At 40.3% G+C, this 18,420-nt stretch overlaps 1 protein-coding gene across 39 annotated transcripts in view, besides 2 other annotated features; it reads right to left on the reverse strand.

Moving 5' to 3' along the window:
• The window catches only part of ICA1 (islet cell autoantigen 1), a 149,372-nt gene that overhangs the window by 23,005 nt on the left and 107,947 nt on the right, over nucleotides 1-18,420 (reverse strand). For 16 of the 39 annotated variants that reach the window (XR_002956426.2, XM_024446741.2, XM_011515349.2 and 13 more), the window contains 5 exons: nucleotides 7,687-7,784; nucleotides 5,781-5,867; nucleotides 5,577-5,629; nucleotides 2,797-2,859; nucleotides 2,652-2,693 (listed from right to left, as the gene is read on the reverse strand). Coding sequence is in view for 34 of the 39 variants with exons in the window: in XM_024446741.2 (XP_024302509.1) it covers nucleotides 2,652-2,693; nucleotides 2,797-2,859; nucleotides 5,577-5,629; nucleotides 5,781-5,867; nucleotides 7,687-7,784 (343 nt within the window). In the remaining 5 variants the exon portion in view is untranslated. Of the gene's footprint in view, nucleotides 1-2,651; nucleotides 2,694-2,796; nucleotides 2,860-5,576; nucleotides 5,630-5,780; nucleotides 5,868-7,644; nucleotides 7,785-18,420 lie in introns of all 39 variants that reach the window. The other 23 variants (NR_146928.2, NM_001276478.2, NM_004968.4 and 20 more) reach the window with 5 other exon arrangements.
• Nucleotides 7,465-7,694: an enhancer, noted in NCBI's record as "active region_25657". NCBI's record gives its function as "activates an Ori minimal core promoter by ATAC-STARR-seq in GM12878 lymphoblastoid cells {active_cell/tissue: GM12878}" and the evidence as "EXISTENCE:reporter gene assay evidence [ECO:0000049][PMID:35858748]".
• Nucleotides 10,824-11,341: an enhancer, noted in NCBI's record as "NANOG hESC enhancer chr7:8186642-8187159 (GRCh37/hg19 assembly coordinates)". NCBI's record gives its function as "activates a minimal SCP1, AML or CMV promoter by ChIP-STARR-seq in primed H9 embryonic stem cells {active_cell/tissue: H9 hESC(primed)}" and the evidence as "EXISTENCE:reporter gene assay evidence [ECO:0000049][PMID:30033119]".

Raw genomic sequence — 18,420 nt, forward strand, 5'->3', positions numbered from 1 at the left:
TGTTGTCACGAGCGGTCTGCTTTTTGATAACATTGTACCACGGCTTAGCCATTACTTGTCTAACAGAATTACCACAGGGAGTGAACCGGCCCCCAAGCAGCAGGGTGCTAGAGCTTATCGTCCCCAAGTCCTATAAAGTCAGCCATCCCTGGATTAAGCTCTTTTTATTTCTTGACTGTTTAATGTCGTGCATATTGTAATCAGCATTTTAATTCAGGATTTGGGCCTTCCAGCAGTTTTCCAAAGGGCACACATTTTGAAGTCAACAAATTAATGAGTGTTCTTTTCTTCAGTCACCACAAGTTCTCTGTGCACTGAGAGAATATTTTTATTCTACCGACCACGTTAATATTTAAGCCGACGCTACCCTGTGGGTTGACAACATAGAAGCAGAGGCAGACAGTGGGGCAGCCCTGCTCATGCCTGAAGAAGGGCTGTGTGGGTTGGCAGTGAGAAAGAGAAAAGACAAATTATGTGACATTGACTTTAACTGAGACAATGTGCAAACCAATACTTCTGCCTGAGAACAACTACACATTTTAAGGGACCAGCACATTAATATCCCTATCTTTACAATTACATAGAGTGCTCAAAAAAGGGGGTATGGACTGCTAGTCTACAAAACTAACAAAGATCCTAACTATAAACCAATGAAATATGAAAGTTGTTTTAAATAAGCAGACAAGTGTCAATCTCATTCCAACATATCTTGGCACATGCTTTCGAGGAAGTTTATAAAAGTAAGCATCTATCGCAGGCAGTGCCATTTCTGATTTAATTCTGTGAAAAAATGCATGACTACTGGGTTAGGGTTGTACCTTTACCGCCAAGTTAAAAAAAATTAAATTCTAAAGCCAAGAACCTTTTTTTTTTTTTTAGAAAGAGGGAAACAAAATACAGACTCGTATTTGCTGTGTCTGGGTAAACAAACACTAAGATACACTGGGGGATGGAAGTATTAGAATAGGGAGGGGGTTAAGGAAGAGGAATGAGAGTGAGGATTCTTTTACTGTGTATTTTTTTATTATAAGTCGGCTTTTGTCCCAGTGTGAATGTACTACCTAGTCAAATTCAAACACTAAAATAATAAAATTAAAGAAGGTGATAATAAAAGCAAAGAGCAAATTATATAAACAAGATGTTGGGAATGAAAGGAATAACAGCCTTCCTATCAAAGTAAGTTAAAGCACGTGAAGGATTATAAATACATTTGTTTACTGGTAAGACTTGTTGAAACTGGGTGGTGGGTACCTAGGTTTGTTCTATTATTGTCTTTACCTGACTTTGGTAAGAATAAAATATTTATCCCCTCCAAAAAATAATTTGTGAAAGACACCTTTATTCTATCAAAATAATCTGTTCTTAAGCCAAAGAGGAAAATGTTTTACAAAAATGGACACCATGTATGGCAATCTACATTAACTGCTTATTACTTCCACTACCTGGTATGATTTCAATATTTATAAATGATTAGTCATTTTGATAAAATATTCATGGGCATTCACACAGTACTGCATAGTATGCTACCTGTCGTAAGACAGTAACAGGGAAAGCAGATATCTGTCCTCAAGTTTATATCCCTAAACCCTGAAAACTTAATGCTAGAGGTGCGGTGCCTTTCTACTTTTGACAAAACTTTAACCAATGTCCTCTGTCTTCCAGAGACTCTCTTCCTTGCACACTCTGTAAATTAAATCAACATCAAGCCCAGACTGAACTGAGTTGTCTGCCCTGGTTGACTGGGGCCTGCAGGATAACTTCGGCCAGTCTGTAGTCCTGTGAGAAATCTGTAAAGCCAGGGCAGGCTGCATGCCAACCACCAGGGCATGGGATGCTCTGGAGTTTGGCTCTAAATTTCAGGTGTATTTTGGACTCTTGGTACATCATTAAAAGGAAACCCTTGGTCAGATGGAGAGCTAAGGCTATAATTAGGCTGAACCCTCTCAATGTCTTAGGATTACTTAACACTCTACATTCTCACTCAAATCCATGGTTCTGGATTCTCTTTTGGGAGGTTATTTCATAAGTGATTTTAGGTTTGGTAAATTCAGGTGTGCGACTTAACTAAGCAAACTCTCCCTCTGCATCTACCTAAGGGTCAGTAGAGACTTACTACAGTAAATCACCCACAAAACATTACTAGTCCTACTATCTCAACTCATGACCATTTGACATAACCCTGTGTTAGAGGCCATCAAGGACCCCTTACACACGATCTCCAGTTCTGACAATAACCCACCAAGGCCGTTGCTATTGTTTCCATTTTACAAATGAGAATAACCCAGGCTTAGAGAGTTTAAGTATGAAGCAAATCACTTAAAATACAGGCCATTTATGGTAAAACCAGTCTTTAAATCCACGTGTCTGATTCTGAAAGCCATGTTTTTTCTACTACAGCATGTGACCCATGACATAACTTTTAGCTATAGTAGTTTGAACATTATGAAATTCATTATACTAATGATGATAGGTCTACACATACTATTTTGTGCTTGGGCATATTTGAGGTCATTTATAAAGACTGTCACCCAAAAAACTTTCCTTTGGAATGCAAAGCTATTAAAAAGATTAAGATTACACTTTCTTACATGTAAAAGAGTAATTTAAAAAATCAAACAAATCATAATCCCAAAGAAACACATAAATCTTACCACCTTCCTCAGATTTCATGTCTAATAGTTCATCTATGGGTCCTTTAGAGAAGAGGAAAGAAAACAAAATTATAAGTCAGTTTCATTTTGTGAGGAGTTTGAGTCAAATAATTAAAATTGAGTAGTTTTCCTTAATCTAGGTTACCTGAGCATGCAGTATGTGTAGAGCCTTTGTCTAAGGCAGATAAAATACTTTTTCCATCTTCAGCTGTAATATAACATGTGCAACTGGTTACCAACAACTCGAAATGGTGTGCATGTTCATACGCTATTGCAGTGTAAGGTAAATGCACGGCTTCAGGAAGAAATGGGATCCACAAACTCAGCCAGAAGCAAGGGTCCTCAGATTACACTGGACTCCTGCTATCAGCTCTCAGAGAATGCCAAATTAACAGCCCTGAATCTTTGCTTTGTTTGGCAGATAACCTGAAAACCATATGACATCGATCTAACAATTCTCCTTCCATGGACAAGTGTGTGACTTAAGTAACTGACTATTACTTGATGATGCTGATGAACTTTAGCCATATGGGCCTGGCTAAAATGAAAAGGTAGATTACTAAGTGAAAGAAGTCAATCTGAAAAGGCTACACATTGCATGATTCCAATTATATGACATTTTGGAAAAGACAAAACTATGAGGACAGTAAGAAGATCAGCATTTGCCAAAGGCTTGAGGGGAGGGAGGGATGAATAGTGGAGGACACAGGGGTTTCAGGGCAGTGAAACTGTTTTGTAAGGTCCTATAATGGTAGATATATATCATTATACATTTGTAATGCCCACAAAATGTATAACACCAAGCGTGAATGCTAATGTAAACTATGGACTTTGGGTGATAATGATGTCAATGTAGGTTTATTGACTATAACAAATATACCACCTGGTGTAGGATGTTAATAGTGGGAAAGGCTATGTATATGCTGGGGAAAGGAATCTATGAGAAATCTCTGTACATTGAGCCTAACTTTGCTGTGAACCAAAAACTATTCTAAACAATAAAGTGTGTCTGTGTGTGTGTTTGTAATAGAACAGCCTTAAAACTTGATTTGCTCATATGTTCATTAGCCTTTCTGCAAGTCACAGAATAAAAGAAATATGATACTTCATTATAATGGATTTTATTCTGTGCATATATAAAACAAGATGATCGACATTTACAATCTCAAAATATGCAAATACCACAAGCAATTATACTGCACAAGGAACGAGAGAAAATTTGATTCCCCTGCATTGTCACATATTGTATGAATATATAATTTATATAGATTTATAACTTGCATACAAATATAATAAACTGCAGTTTATATTTTCCCACAGAACCCATGTTTTCCTATCCAATTACCTTGACTATGACAACATTAGTGATTCGTGCCGTGGGTACACTGAGGCTGGAGAGCTTGCATCCATATAGACAGAGAGCTCTTCTGTGGCCAACAAGAGCAGGCCCAGCTGCTCCCTTTCTCCTCCTGCCACTCGCTCCCCCTCATGCTCTGGAGCATGGTTTCTCTGACTTTCTCCAGGTCCTCCTGTGCCCATAACCTTTGCCCAGGCTGTTTCTTCTGCTTTGACAAGTCTTGCCATAGCACTTGGCTTAGCCAGTTCCCTGATCTCCTAAAAAAGTTGTGTCCTCTCCATCACATGTGCCCAAAGCCCTACACCTCTCCCTTGGAGCTCCCACCAAAGCTGGAGCTGCTGGATTACTTTGGTAATGATTAGATTACCATCTGCTTGCCCTTTTGACTGTCAGCCTCATCCTGGAAGGGACTATGTCTGGTGCACCACTGTATGCCCAGAGCCCAGCGCCATGCCTGGCACAGAGGCGGCTCAATAAACATCTGTTGAACAAATGAACAAGTGCATGAGTACTTGTACGTGAAGGTGTACATGTGTGAATGGATGACATGAAGCAAGCATTAGAGGCAAAAAAGTGAGTCTTTTGTTGTTGTTGTTGAAAGGCAGATAGGAGAAAAGCAAATAGGAGGAGAAGCAAGTGGGTGGAAAGGTAAAAAGGAAGATAGAGGGTGAAGGAGAAGAATGGAGCAGAGGAGAAGTTCTAGAATCTCCTTTGCCTCCTCCTATCTTCCAGGAAGGTACCACACCAGAGGGTGAAGCAGGAAGAGATGCATATGTCCCCAGGGGGACCAGGTAAACACAGTGTTGGGGTAATTTTAGTTCTCTTCATAACACCTGTAAAACATTCCCCCGCATCTCCGAGGAGCTTGAGTGCCAGTGAAGTGCTTGGTACTGTGTCACATTAATTCTACCACAATCTATCAAACCCTGTGTCCCTCTGTGAGGTGAAGGACCAATGAAAACACTGGCAGTAACAGCAGGAGACAGAAATAGCTGATGAGCCTGCACAGCACACTGTGCCATCTCCCAACGCTCTGACCCCTTCTCCTAACACATCAGGTTCAGTTCACCTGAGGGATCAGGGGTTGCTTGGCACTGGCAGGCTGAGGCATCAGCTGGCAGGGCAGGGTGAGCAGCTCCTATCTGTTTCCAACATTGACAAACATCCACCCGCCCCACACATACCGCAAATCCACCTCTCCTGAGGTCATAGCCTCATCTTATGAAAACTAGAACCAGTCAGGGTCACAGCAGAAATCTTATAATCCGCTGTGAAAAGAAACAGCGATTTGCCAGTTCCCATCGTGGCTGCCCCTCTGAAGAGCTGCTGCTGATGTGACTGTGATGTGATTTTCTGGTTCACAATACACAGCCTCTCTCAGTAATGCTGTAGGGTTGACATGGTGGATATCTGAACATTTAGAACTGAGTCTACAGGAAGCAAATTAGCCTTTTCTCAGTTGAAAAAGAAGAAAGGCCTAGGAGGAGTTTGTCAAAAAGTAAAATGACTTGGCTGTTAAGCATTAAGTAATATTTCAGAAGCAATTCTAAATAAAAATCAAAACTTACTCTTAAAACTAGAGGATTCCTTGCGCTGGTTTTCTTCCTCTAATGAAATTAATCTTAAAATAAAAAAGAGGTTTAGTCATCAACTTCTACCAATGTTATATTTATGATACAGCCAGACTTTCAGTACAATATTACTTCACTTTTAACACAAACACATACACCACACACACGCACACGAAGAAGGGTCAACATATAGTCATTTACATGCCAATTTGCTGGCCTTCTTTCCCTTTCTGTAGCATCTTAATATCTGAATTTGCTTTCATCTCGAGGCAAATATTCTGTAAATATCTAGATGGGCAGTTAGATATAAATAAGATAGACGCATACAGTTATCACCTTAAAAATAGTAAAAATTGATAGTTAAAAAAACTGTAAAAATATCAATCAGAATCCATTTCTTCTGATTCCTAGTGTTATAGGAGAGGACACCTCCAGAGGTTAGCTCGGCTACAGAGGCTGCAGGCAGGACCACTCATAAATCCAGGCTGACCATCTCCTACTCAACTCTCACCACTTCTTTAAACACAGAGACACATCACTGCCCTTGAGATTCACTTGGTGCCTCCGAGCCTTCCTCCTAGCACCGTGATGCACCTTTGTCTGCTATTTCTAAACAAAATTCACGTTCAGTGTTCACTGTCATTTTAAATAGTTACTGGGTTATACTTTGTGAGCTTTCAAAAATGAAGCACTGAAGTATTTGAGAAATCTGAATTAATTAAAACAAATCAAGAAAAATCCCAGGTAATCCACTTCCAAGTAAAGGTGAATGCTTTATTTTGATTGTATGAACTTATATGGTGAAAAGAAGGTGCAGGGACCCACTTCAGGTCTCACCTCTTACTACACAAGAGTAAGTGGGCAGCCCCTTAACCTTCCGGAACCTTCCTTCCATCTTTTACATGACAAGGAAAATCCCAGCCTTGACGTCACTGAAGGTTGTCATGAGATGGAATTAACATAAATAAAACACCTAGCATTGTATCTGGTTCATAGTAGGTGCTCACTAAAATGATAGCTAGCACTATTACCATCACCAGGAATGGGTTAAACTGGTTCACCATAAAATAGCCAGTTTTACTAGATTCAGATCACATTCTACAGTCTGTCCTTCAGTGAGAACTTGTCTTCATTCTGCATCAAAAAATTTATCTAGTACATATACTCTTTAAAATTTAAAAAGGCTAATATTGGCAGCAACTTTTCCTGTGGGACAAAAAATATATCTGAAAGTCGATTTAGAAATACAATAAAAGTATAAGCCTGTTTTACGATAAGACTGTCATCTAAATTTTTTTTGTGTGTGGAAAAGGAGTAGAGAATAGAAACGAGGCCATCCATTTTGTTTTCCTAGGTCGGCCAGTTCAAAGATTAACTGCATTCCTGCAAGCTATTATATCTCCATAGAAAATGATACAGATCCACATTTCAACCTCCTTCTCAATGTATGAGAAAGGGAACCATGCACCACATATGTTGAAAAGTTCATCTCAGTATTTAAAATGACAAGAGGCACCTTCTTTGTAAAGGGGCATGAAATGGAGATGGAGCAGTCATTTCCTGTACTTGAAGCTGTTCTCTGTTTCACAGAGAAGAAAACAGACATTCTGCATGGTAGAAAACACAGTGCCAAAATCCAACACTTTCATATGATGATGCCTTAGTATGCATGTATCCCAGGGCAATTTCATAGGTAAGCTCCCTCAGTGAGAGAAAAGCCAGGGGATTTCCTATCTAGAAGAGCATCTAGTGTTGACAAAGGACCAGATAGGGTCCAGAAACCAGAGAAAGTGCAAAGCTGGGGCTCAGGTCACAGGCAGAGAGCCAGGGAATGCTGGGGACATTTGCCCTGTCTTGTTCCAGTCAGCTCCTCACAAGTGTGCCCTTCTAAGTCCCCTGGAAACCGATCTCTTACTGGGATACGTGAGTCATGACCTAGCAGGAGCATGCGTTAAAGGGGTTTGGCTGGGATGCTAATACATCTACTCTGAGAAGTGAGGAAGTAAGACAAGTCTGCGTCTGAGGCCCAGCCAGGTTCGGTCAGCGAGAACCACATAACTCTCACCTGTGGGAAGAAAGATGCAGAGGGAAGGAACCTGTGACTTACTGGCTCGGCTCCTGCACGGCTGCATCTGTACTTTCCTGCTGGTTGATTTTCTTCTTCTCTTCTTTCTCAACTAATTTTTTCATAGGGTCTTGTAAGCTCTTGATCACGAGCCATAGAAAAATGAAAAAGAAAAAAAAAGAAGAAGAAATAGAGACAAAAAAAAGAAAAGAAAGGTTATCAATTAAAAAATTCAACTGCCATTTGTCCCAGCAACCAAACTTTGAATTACAGGTATTGGGAGGTGACCTTGAACCAATCAGCTGGAAGAAATAAAATTTTATATGGTGAAGCAACAATGTTCTCAGACACATCCGAGAAATACTAGCATATATAGCAGAGCTGATTTGCCACAAGATTTATGTTTTCCATTTTGTGATAAGTTATTCAAACGTGGCCTTTTGGCTATTGCTAACTTTATTTTTCAACTTCAACATGTAGTTAAGATAAACATTCTGTTCTGTTCGCAGCCCACACACTGACAAAGTAGAAGTTCCTCCCACCTCCACCAGAGATGAGACGATTTCATTTTGTTTTAAATTTTGTTTGCTATTTTGCAATCTAAAACCCAGTTTTAAAAAATAACAGAAAACAAAACCTTTTCTTAAAAAACCAAAAATAGTGGCTTAACATATTCTGACAACCTAACTCCCACGAGTGGACAGAGCAGGTGCATCCAAATCTTTGTAGATTAAAATGGGTGAGAGTCTTCTTTTGGCACATCATTTGTTGGAGTTACTATTTTCAAGGTTAACTAAATATTTAAGTTTTTTTTTTTAAACAGCAAGTGCCTAGAAACTGTATACCAGTGACAATGATCCTGAAAGAAAAAGCAAAACATTTCTAGAACTGAATAATGATTTATACAAAAAGATCTCTATTTCTGGCCCTAATTAAAATACAAACCTATAAATACAAAATAAACATCTCAGGATACTTATCCTTCTTATATTCTCAGAACTACTAAAATCCAAGTCATGAGCCTGGGGCCTTCACCTTGTTTCTCCTGTCCTTCTCCTGCCTATCGTTCACTTGTCTGACACACATAGGAGGCAATCAGGTTTCATGGCCAATTCTGATTGATTAGTACTGGCTGACTGGAGGGCCAGTGAAGATGGTTCTCAGGCTGTGTCTCGGCAGAGCAGACCTGTGATTGATTTTGGTGTCTGCCATGGACACCAGATGGATACTGGTGTCACACTTCCAAACTGCCAGCTCTGTTTCTCTCTCTGCACAGAGTAATTTTCCTAAAACACCCACGTCATCATGTTATCCTTCTTTTCAAGAATCTTATTTCTTGAGAAGGACCAGCGTATTTCTTTATTGTAAGAACTTCCTTATTTCTTTCCACTTCTAATATCAACCTCTCTGACCAATTTTGAAGATCTTCTAAAATGGGATCCTAGCCTAACTTTCCCATCTTGCTCCCTACCATCCCCCAAACATGAGCTTTCTTTCAGTTAGGATGGTCTCCTCATAGTCTCCCATGTGCTAGTTTCTTCCTTCCTGTCTTTGTTCATTCTGCTTCTTTAACCTAAAATGCTCTATTTGTTTATCCTCATTAATCCTATGAGTGTTTTCAAAGTCCAGATCAATTACCAGCATTTTCTGCAAAGCTTCACTAAGCATGCCAAATTCAGGAAAGTCTTTCCATATCCAAACTGCACTTCAGTTTTATTAATATTTGATCATATTTATCCTGTATTATGTTTTGTCTCCGTAAAATATTTTCTAAATCAGAAACATAATAGAACCACATGCAGCAAGTCTGATAAAAAAGTAAAAATTACTCATAATTCCATATCCTTAAAATGATGATGATTTTCATATATTTTCTGCTTTTTTCATACACTACTTGTATGATTGGAATCATTGTGTATATATATATATATATATGTATATAAAATATATAGAGAGACAGTAGTCCTTTTAACCAATATAATTTGTGTAGATATTTCATAATTTAAAAAAGGCTTATTAGACTACAGAATATAAAAAAGACGTTATATACCTTAAGCAGTTAATATCAAAACTGAAATATAAAAATGTGCATTCCTTCACCAATATTCTAAAGTGGAACCCAGGTCTTCTCTGAGTATATGTCCCCTGACTGGAGTTCTGAAGCATTTTCTTGCATAAAGCACATCCGTAAGGCACTGACATCATTTTTAATGACTCCTATTTCTGGACATTTAGATTAGTTCATTCAGTTAACAAATAGTTTTTGAGCACTACCCAATGACAGGTGCTGTTGGGTGCTTTGGATACACCGGTGAACACGACAGACAAAATTATTAGCTAGCGATGGGTCTAGGCAGATAATTAAAACCGAGGGATAGAAAGTGATTGGGTCATTACCCCAGTTAGCAGGATGTCCTCTTTTGGAAGTGACATTTCAACTAAGAGCTAAATGACAAGAAGGAGCCAGCCATGTGAAGCTCAGGGAGAAGAGAGTTCCGAGTCAATGGCTCAAAGGTAGGAATAGCTTGGTTTGTCTGAGGAACAAAAAGAATGCCACTGGAGCTGCCGTATAGTTGGCAAGAGTACAAGTCTTGAGACTGGGATAAAGAGGTCAGCAGGGGTCACATGGGGAGAACATTCCCGTACCCATATTCATCAATATTTAACATTTTGCCCCATTTTGTTCCATCATCATCTTTTGCTCTGTCTCCCTAATGCATGACAACTAAATGCAATACACGATCCTTGGCTGCTGCAGCCTGCACTGGAGGGGAAAATGATACAAAGGGCAGTGTCAGGACAAATGAGACAACTGGAATATGGACTGCAGCCTGGATGTTCATGATTTTTTTATATACCCCAAAGCTTCCAGTGAAAGTCAGGCACGTGTGTGCGTGTGTGTGCGTGTGCGTGTGTGTGTGTGTGTGTGTGTTTAGTATATGTGCAGCCAGGAGGAAGGAGTTCAATAGATGTCAAGGATGTACTCTTTTCAATCCATCTGCCAATTACAGCATTTTATTCATGTACACACACACACACACACACACACGCACACACACACACACACACACACACTCGCCTTTCGGTAGTTTTATTCCTCCACAAAATGGTCCAACTCTGGTCAAAGTGAAGCCAGGAATATTTTCAGCCAAGGTTCTGATGGCTCCCAAGACTCACTTTTAAATTTTGTAACACTGGTCCAGGCCTCCTGGTTTGCTCAATTATCTTCTCATTGTGTTTCCTTTTTATCAATCAACGCTAGGCAGGGCCAGGGCATGTCTGCTCTCAGCCGGCCCTGTCTAGCTGCCACAGCGCTTGCCTAAACCCCTGACATGCCCTTGACAGCTCCACGGTTATCATCCTTTCTGTCTCCAGCCTGACCTCCCCTCATAACCACACTTGAGCAGCTCTCAGACAATCCTTTTGTAATGTAAACCACTCACTCCTCCTTTTCAACCCCTTCCCCTGTTGGCCCATTAGCAGGGACTCAATTGTTGGCTCCCTGTCACCACAATCACAGTTAAGTCACTATTGTGCTTCTCCCAACGGAATGGCTGCAGTTCCAACTATTTAAAATTATTATTAATAATTCCTGTAGTAATTGCTCCTCTCTTCCTACTATTACTATTATTCCTAAAACAATTTGGCTGTTGCAGCTCAAGACAGGTGCTAAATATGTACTTGTTGATTGATAAATGGATGTACATAAGGTTACACTAAAAAAACTAGAGCTCCTTAGCTAGGAAATTCAAAGGCTCAGGGGAGTAATTTGAAAAGGTTTATAAAACCACAAGCAAAATTGATACTGAGCACATGGACTTGTTTATTAAATATTAGAATTTTGAGCCAAGGGGAACACACACACACACACACACACACACACACACACACACACACAAGCTTAACTGAGCTATAATTCAAATACCATAGAATTCACCTAACTGTTCAATGGTTTGCAGTACACAGTAAGTAGGTCCTTGAATAATGTCATTTTGTTATAATGTTGATGAGAAAAAAAAATGGATTTCCTGGCTCGGGGCCACTGTCAGGGTGGAGTTTGCACATTCTGCCCATGTCTGAATGGGTTTTCTCCTGGCTCCACTCCAGTTTCCTCCCATATCCCAAAGCTACACAAGTCAGGTGAATGTGCGATTCTACATGGTCCCAGTGTGAATGACCGTGGGGGTGTGTGTCGGTGCGACCTGCTACGGGGTGGCATCCTGTCTAGGACTGGTTCCCATCCTGTGTCCTGAGCTGCTGGGATAGGCTCCCACCATCCACCACCCTGAACTGGAATAAGCAGTTTGGAAAATGAACAAATGAATAAATAAAATTTATCATAAAAAATCCTTCAAGTATATAATCATACAGAAGCATGACAATAAACGCTGTGACAGAAAAGCACCCGGTGAGCCCACGGTATTTGTGATTGTGATTGAACTGCCTGGTGGCAGGCGGTGTCTTAGAATTTTTGCTTCACCAACGCTTATTCCTTAATTTAACCCACTACTGTTCTGACTCCCTGTCACTCACTGATCCACCAAGAATTGGGTAAAGAATTACCTTACCTTTTTTTTTAAACTTTTCTAAATGTACATATAACTTAGATTTATTTCAGTGTTAAATATTAGAAGTGTTTTGGGTCTTTATTTAGAAGCTTGGTGATGTTTTTGTGACCATAAATTGTTACATCGTAAGAACTTAACTCTTGATTGTATAATCAGCCTATGGTAAAATGGATTTCATTATACATTGTTTTGCTTAAAGTCACAGTTTCCCAAGAACAAACTGATGACAGTGAGGACATACTGTATTCACAGAGTGGGACGACCATCACCATAATCAATTTCAGGACATTTTCAAGGGACATCACCAAGACAGAATTTGTAGACCAAACGAAGCTAAATACTCTTTGATATAGCAAGGAAAAAAACAATAACACATATGGAACTTGTTTCTTACAAAAGATGGTATACATTGAAGATATAAAGGGGCTAAGGGGAACATTAAAAGATCATGGAGGAAAAAATCATAACCCCCTTTATCCCCCCAAATTAGTTCCTGGGTGTGACTGTCAGATACAGGATATTCTCTAGACTGCTCTCCCCGACGTTGGATCACAAACGCTCAACTCGGGGTAGAAGGTGCAGGTGAATTCTTCAAATTATTTTGAAGTCCACGACTCCATTGAAGTGCTTAACCCTATAGAACGCATAGAAGTCAGGGGTGACAATATTTTCTGTGTGACAGGAACACCTGCTCAGGCAAAATGAATCTAAGAGGCCTCTCTGACTATGTATAGACGAGGCAGCCATCAGATGAACCATTATTTCCAATTACCAGCTGATGGGAGCCACATACGAATCCACGTCCAGAAATGAAAACTCCAAAAACGTTCTGTTTCTAAACCCCAAACCCACTCAGTCTCTCATTAAAATTGCTCATGAAAATTGCTGTGTATTAGCAGCACACAGAGTCATACAAGACTGAAAGTTTCTTTGTGGAGGAAAGAATGTTTTTAGACTAAGAAACTTTTCTCTGTTAAGGCTGCACTAACATGCTAATGATTTCCATCCATGCTTAAATGGTTTCAGGAAGCACACACACAGTAGTATGTAAGATCAGCGTGACAGAGGAAACTCGCAGATCGAGCTTGCAAAAGTGTCTTAGAAAGGAAACAGCTTAATATAATAATGGGAGTTACCACTTCCTGTATTAGGAAAATAAAAGCAACAGCAACATTCATCTGAATGAATGCAAAACTACTTAGCAAAACAAATTTCACAGACACAAGGCCAGCAGCCAGTTCTAATAACCTAAATTTAATGTTTAACTTTGACAACTGAGTAGTATCTTCTCTAGCCTTTAATTACGACATCTAATTTTCTTATGCTACTTTCCATTAATTATATTGTATACATATGAAGGTGCCAAGTAATTGTCTATAAAAAAAATAAAAGTGTTCAAAATAGTGGGGCATGTTTAAAAAGTGCTGAATTCAGTTGGGTATGTGTATGTGTGTGTTTATACAATTAGAAGTACATGAAAATAAAAACAGAGGCCACAGTGATGTGTACTGGCCACATAATTCATGGACATTTAGCACATACGTACTCTCTTGCTCTCACCGTACACTTACAAATTTATAAAGACACTATATAAGAAACACTATTACTCTGTAACTAGAGGTAGCCTTGAATTGTACTGTATAAAAAAGTAAAATTAGAGAAAAATAATCACAATCATAAACAAGATAGGTAATATTCTTCTTTAAAAATAAGATAGAAAATTGATAATGACAAGGCACCATACTGTCCTGGAAACAAATGGACTTTGGAGATGGATCACATAGTGCTGTGGCATGGACATGGTCTCCACTCCTTGGAGGTCTTGGTTTACCCATGAGAACAATGGAGGTAATGACGAGTATTCGTCTTGTGATGCTGTGAGGATGAACTGAGAGGGTGCTTCTACACAGTACCAAGCTCATACCAAACACTCAAAACTTGCTTTCTTATCAATGACTTTTAAAGTTCTAAAGGGAATTAGATGTCTTAAGTGCTCCTCCTGTGGCAGGTACTGTGCTCTATGTTTTCTGTATCTCACTTAATCCTCACAAAACCCAGTTAAACCTTGTATTCCTGCTTTCCTGACAGGAAAATGGAGACTTGGAGAGGTGAACTGACTTGCTTCAGGCCTTTCGGCTATTACCAGGTAGAAGCAATATTTGAATCCGGGTCTTAAAAATTCTACAACTAGTTAAGAAATGGTATTAAATACCCCAGCCAGCATGTAGTGACCTTCCCCTTCAATATGAGGCGTTTGGGAGATCGAGAGGACTTCATCCCAAACTCTAAAAGAAGAGCCATACATTCCCAGGTATCTGAAGGACTGACATACAAATCATGCTTTTTTGCCTATAAGCAAACACTTCAAAGTGCTATTTTTAATTGAAAGTTTGCAGCTGTATTTTTTAAAGGTGGCACTTCTGCTTTCTCCTCCTCCCTTCCTGCCCCATGTCCAGAAGTGCCCCTGGGAAGCAGTGCATGGCCCTGCTGGGGAAGGCAGGAGCATCCCAATTCCCAATCTTCTGCACAATGGGCATGCAGGCCCAGGCAAACGACTAGACCTTTCTGAGTTTCTGTGTCCTCATTTGAAACACGGAAAGAAGAACAAGTATATCCAATGTTCCAAGGTTATTTTGAGGGTTAAAGGAAATAGATTCACTTTCTATATGTCAGTGCTGAACCTAGCAGTACTATTAATTACAATCCCAACCTTGGCACACTGTGTGACAAATTCTCCTAGACACTATTTCACCTCACCCTTTGCAGAGCGTTTGGCCCAGACAACCTACCCACACAATAGTAATATTTTTCCCTTTCCCCTCAGGGAGGAGTTAGGGAATGAGAGAGGTGGGGGATGGAGAAGCAACATGCCATTGTGAAGGCTTGAGCTACCAGCTGCCTGGGAGAACCAATGCCAGTCGCCATCAGGCGTGGATGAACAAATGACAAGCCACACTCCGGCTCGTCCCCCTCAGATTTCAGTGGTGGCCTTGGTCAGTCCCTCCACTCCCTCCTTTCTTGGTGACCTGGATGCATCCCAATTTTCTGTTTCCAATGATCTGGCCTGGAGCAGCTTGGGAAAAAAACAGCCTTGCTAAATGCTGTGTAAAGTAATGACAATGAGAGAAAACTTGAAAGCCTAAAAGGATATCCTGGATGCTCGCCATATGTAATTGTCTTGTTGGGACTGGTAACTAAAATAGCATTGCAGGGATATTTACCCAATTTTCATAAAAACTATTATGGCTTTATTTTCAAAGCAAGTAACTACAGAGCCATGTGGCCGGTTGGTAAATGTTCCAGTGATTAACTGAGAAATGTGGAGGTGGGTGGAAGAAGGCTGCGAGGCATATGAATTTGAGAAAAACAAAATTTAGAAAAGGATGTTTTTTGAATTTTCAAAGCTAAAAGCATTCTGGTCTCTAGAATGACGTTCCATCTAACAGTGCTAAGACCTACACCCCAAGAGAGAAAGGAGGAGACATGGGTACATCTGTTTCAATGGTTATTTTTGAACATGTTCAGAGTTACGTTTTCAAATTCAGGTTTCCTTAGCGTTAAAATCTTGGCACAGATCAAGAGCGAGTTGTAAAGCCAAATTGCATTTTTTAGAATTAGCCCTGTTGCAGAGATGGGAGGCCCTACTGCCTTTCCTGCCTGCCGGCCTTCCCAGCCCTCTTCTATCCCTGGTGGGAATTCTGTAAGCCCAGACCAAGGTCTGCAAAGCTGAAGGACAGGTTTGGGAATCGAGCTGCCAGAGTGTCTGTGAAAGCCAGGCAGGGGGTGGGTTGGGTTACCCTGGGGTGAGATCTGGCCAGACCTCCTGTCCCACTGCAATTCATAGCCTCACCTGTGAAACTCACATAAAACTGACAATCTAGGGTGAAATGGAGAGTGAGAAAGTAACATAACCTAGAAACCCCAACAAACTCTCCTGTATTGATGCTTCGCATGGTTGTCTTCTGGATCTACTATAGAATTCATAGTAAGTACATCCCCATTACCAGCACTATGTCATTACTGGAGCCTTTACCGTGGCTGTTATCCTCACCACTGCCACCACCATCGCAACAACCACCACAACCATTACCGTCACCCTTACCACCACCACTACCACTCACCTCTTTCACTACTGCTATTACCATCACCACCTCCACCACCACCACCACCACCACCATCTCCTTCACCACCACTACCCCCAGCACTACCACCATCACCTCTTCCACCACTACCACCATCTCCTCCACCACCACCACCACCACCACCACCATTATCTCCTTCATCACCACTACCCCCACCACTACCACCATCACCTCCTCCACCATCACCACCACCACCACAACCACCATCTCCTTCATCACCACTACCCCCACCACTATCACCATCACCATCACCTCCACCACCACCACCACCATCTCCTTCAACACCACTACCCCCACCACTACCACCATCACCTCCTCCGCCACCATCACCATCACCTCCACCACCACTACCACCATTATCTCCTTCATCACCACTACCCCCACCACTACCACCATCACCTCTTCCACCACTACCATCATCTCCTCCATCACCACTACCACCAGCACCTCCTCTAGCACTGCTGCTGTCATTGCTTTCACCTCCTTTGTCACCACCGCTGCCATCACCAGCATCACCAACACAAACACTGCTACCACTTTCACAACCACTCACGCCTCTCTCACTACCACCACCATGCAGAGCCAGACTTAAAGCTAGGTCTGGCTGGCTCCAGAGATTGTGCTTTTATATACTTTGTTTTATCACAAAACCAGAGGAAATGAAGAACAAAGTCAAAAAACTGGCTTTCCTTCCAAAAACACTGGGAAGAGACATCTCACAGGAATCCACTTTACTACTGGCCATTTTCATTAAATACAGGCACTCTGATCTCCTTAAAAATACAAATGCAGGAGGACAGGCCCCTGGATGAGTATGTCCACTGCTGCGAGGGGCCCAATGCTCACTGCGACACCCAACTCAACCTGCTGCCAGCACGCCAGATAGAGGGAAAATGGTCACTGATATAATATATGTGAGATTTTCCAGGGAAAAGCCACTCTACTTATGAGGTCTTTTTTTTTCCCCCTTGATAATGTCTGCTCGGCATCTGTGGAGAAATGTGAAAGTAAATGACATCCTCGAAAGATGAAGCAAAGACTACCACATCTCAGTGTTGGTAATTTAAGATAGGGTACTGCTCTCCTAACAAGACAGAATTTCATTTAGTATTTTAAAATGCCATAAACTCTTAGTCTAAGTTACTTTCTCTAGAAAAGTGACCATGTTTTCAAGTTCTGGCTAGTAATATTCCATTCCTAGCCCCATGACTCAATAATTTCTACCACGTGAAAGATAGTCCCAGATGATTTAGCATCAATATAAAATAAATATATTAATTACAACTCATGCAGAATATATATATATATATATATATGTAGTAACATTTCAATGAATTGATAAATGTTTGTTGTGTGAAAATACAAGATCAGGGAATTGCTTTTGTCATTGGAAACCACTTAGAAGATAGTTTCTCTGCCTTAAACTTGAGCTGTTATAATTATCAGATTAAAATTTTTTAAATATTAAATTTCAAAGCTAAACTATAAAGTTAAAATGCTACAAAAATCTATTTATTATAAAAAAATTAAAATGATGAAGGAATGTGTCAGTAAAAGTAGAATCAATATAATTATATTAGGCTTGGGTAAAAAAGCAATATTTGTTGTCACATAAAACATTACAACAAAATATCACAACAGTCACTTGGATATTTTTCAAGTATGAAGTGAAGACTCAATTCATCTTTATAATAAAATAACTTTGTAAAAGAATTATAACTCTATTTCTTACAGAAAGGTTCAGTAGAAGTAAAACTTTGTGCTTCTTGGGGCATGAGTTATATCTCTGTAATTCTGTAGCAAAAAACTTGTCCCTCCAAACAGGATGCACCGAGTGTTTAACACATTAATTATCATCCTTCATCAAGCATAAAACTAACAGTCAGGAAATACAGCTGCAATGGCACAATTACCAACACACTCAGAATACACCCTGAAGCAAAGAAAACAAATGGCTTGCTTTTCATTAACAGAGCTTGGCAACCCTCTCTAAAGACAATGTTTTCTTTCCAGTCAGAGTCCCAAAAGGCATTTCAGGGGCTATTTGCTTAGGTAAATCAACAGAA

The sequence above is a fragment of the Homo sapiens genome, chromosome 7 (genome assembly GCF_000001405.40).
Source record: "Homo sapiens chromosome 7, GRCh38.p14 Primary Assembly".
In the NCBI taxonomy this organism is placed as follows: domain Eukaryota; kingdom Metazoa; phylum Chordata; class Mammalia; order Primates; family Hominidae; genus Homo; species Homo sapiens.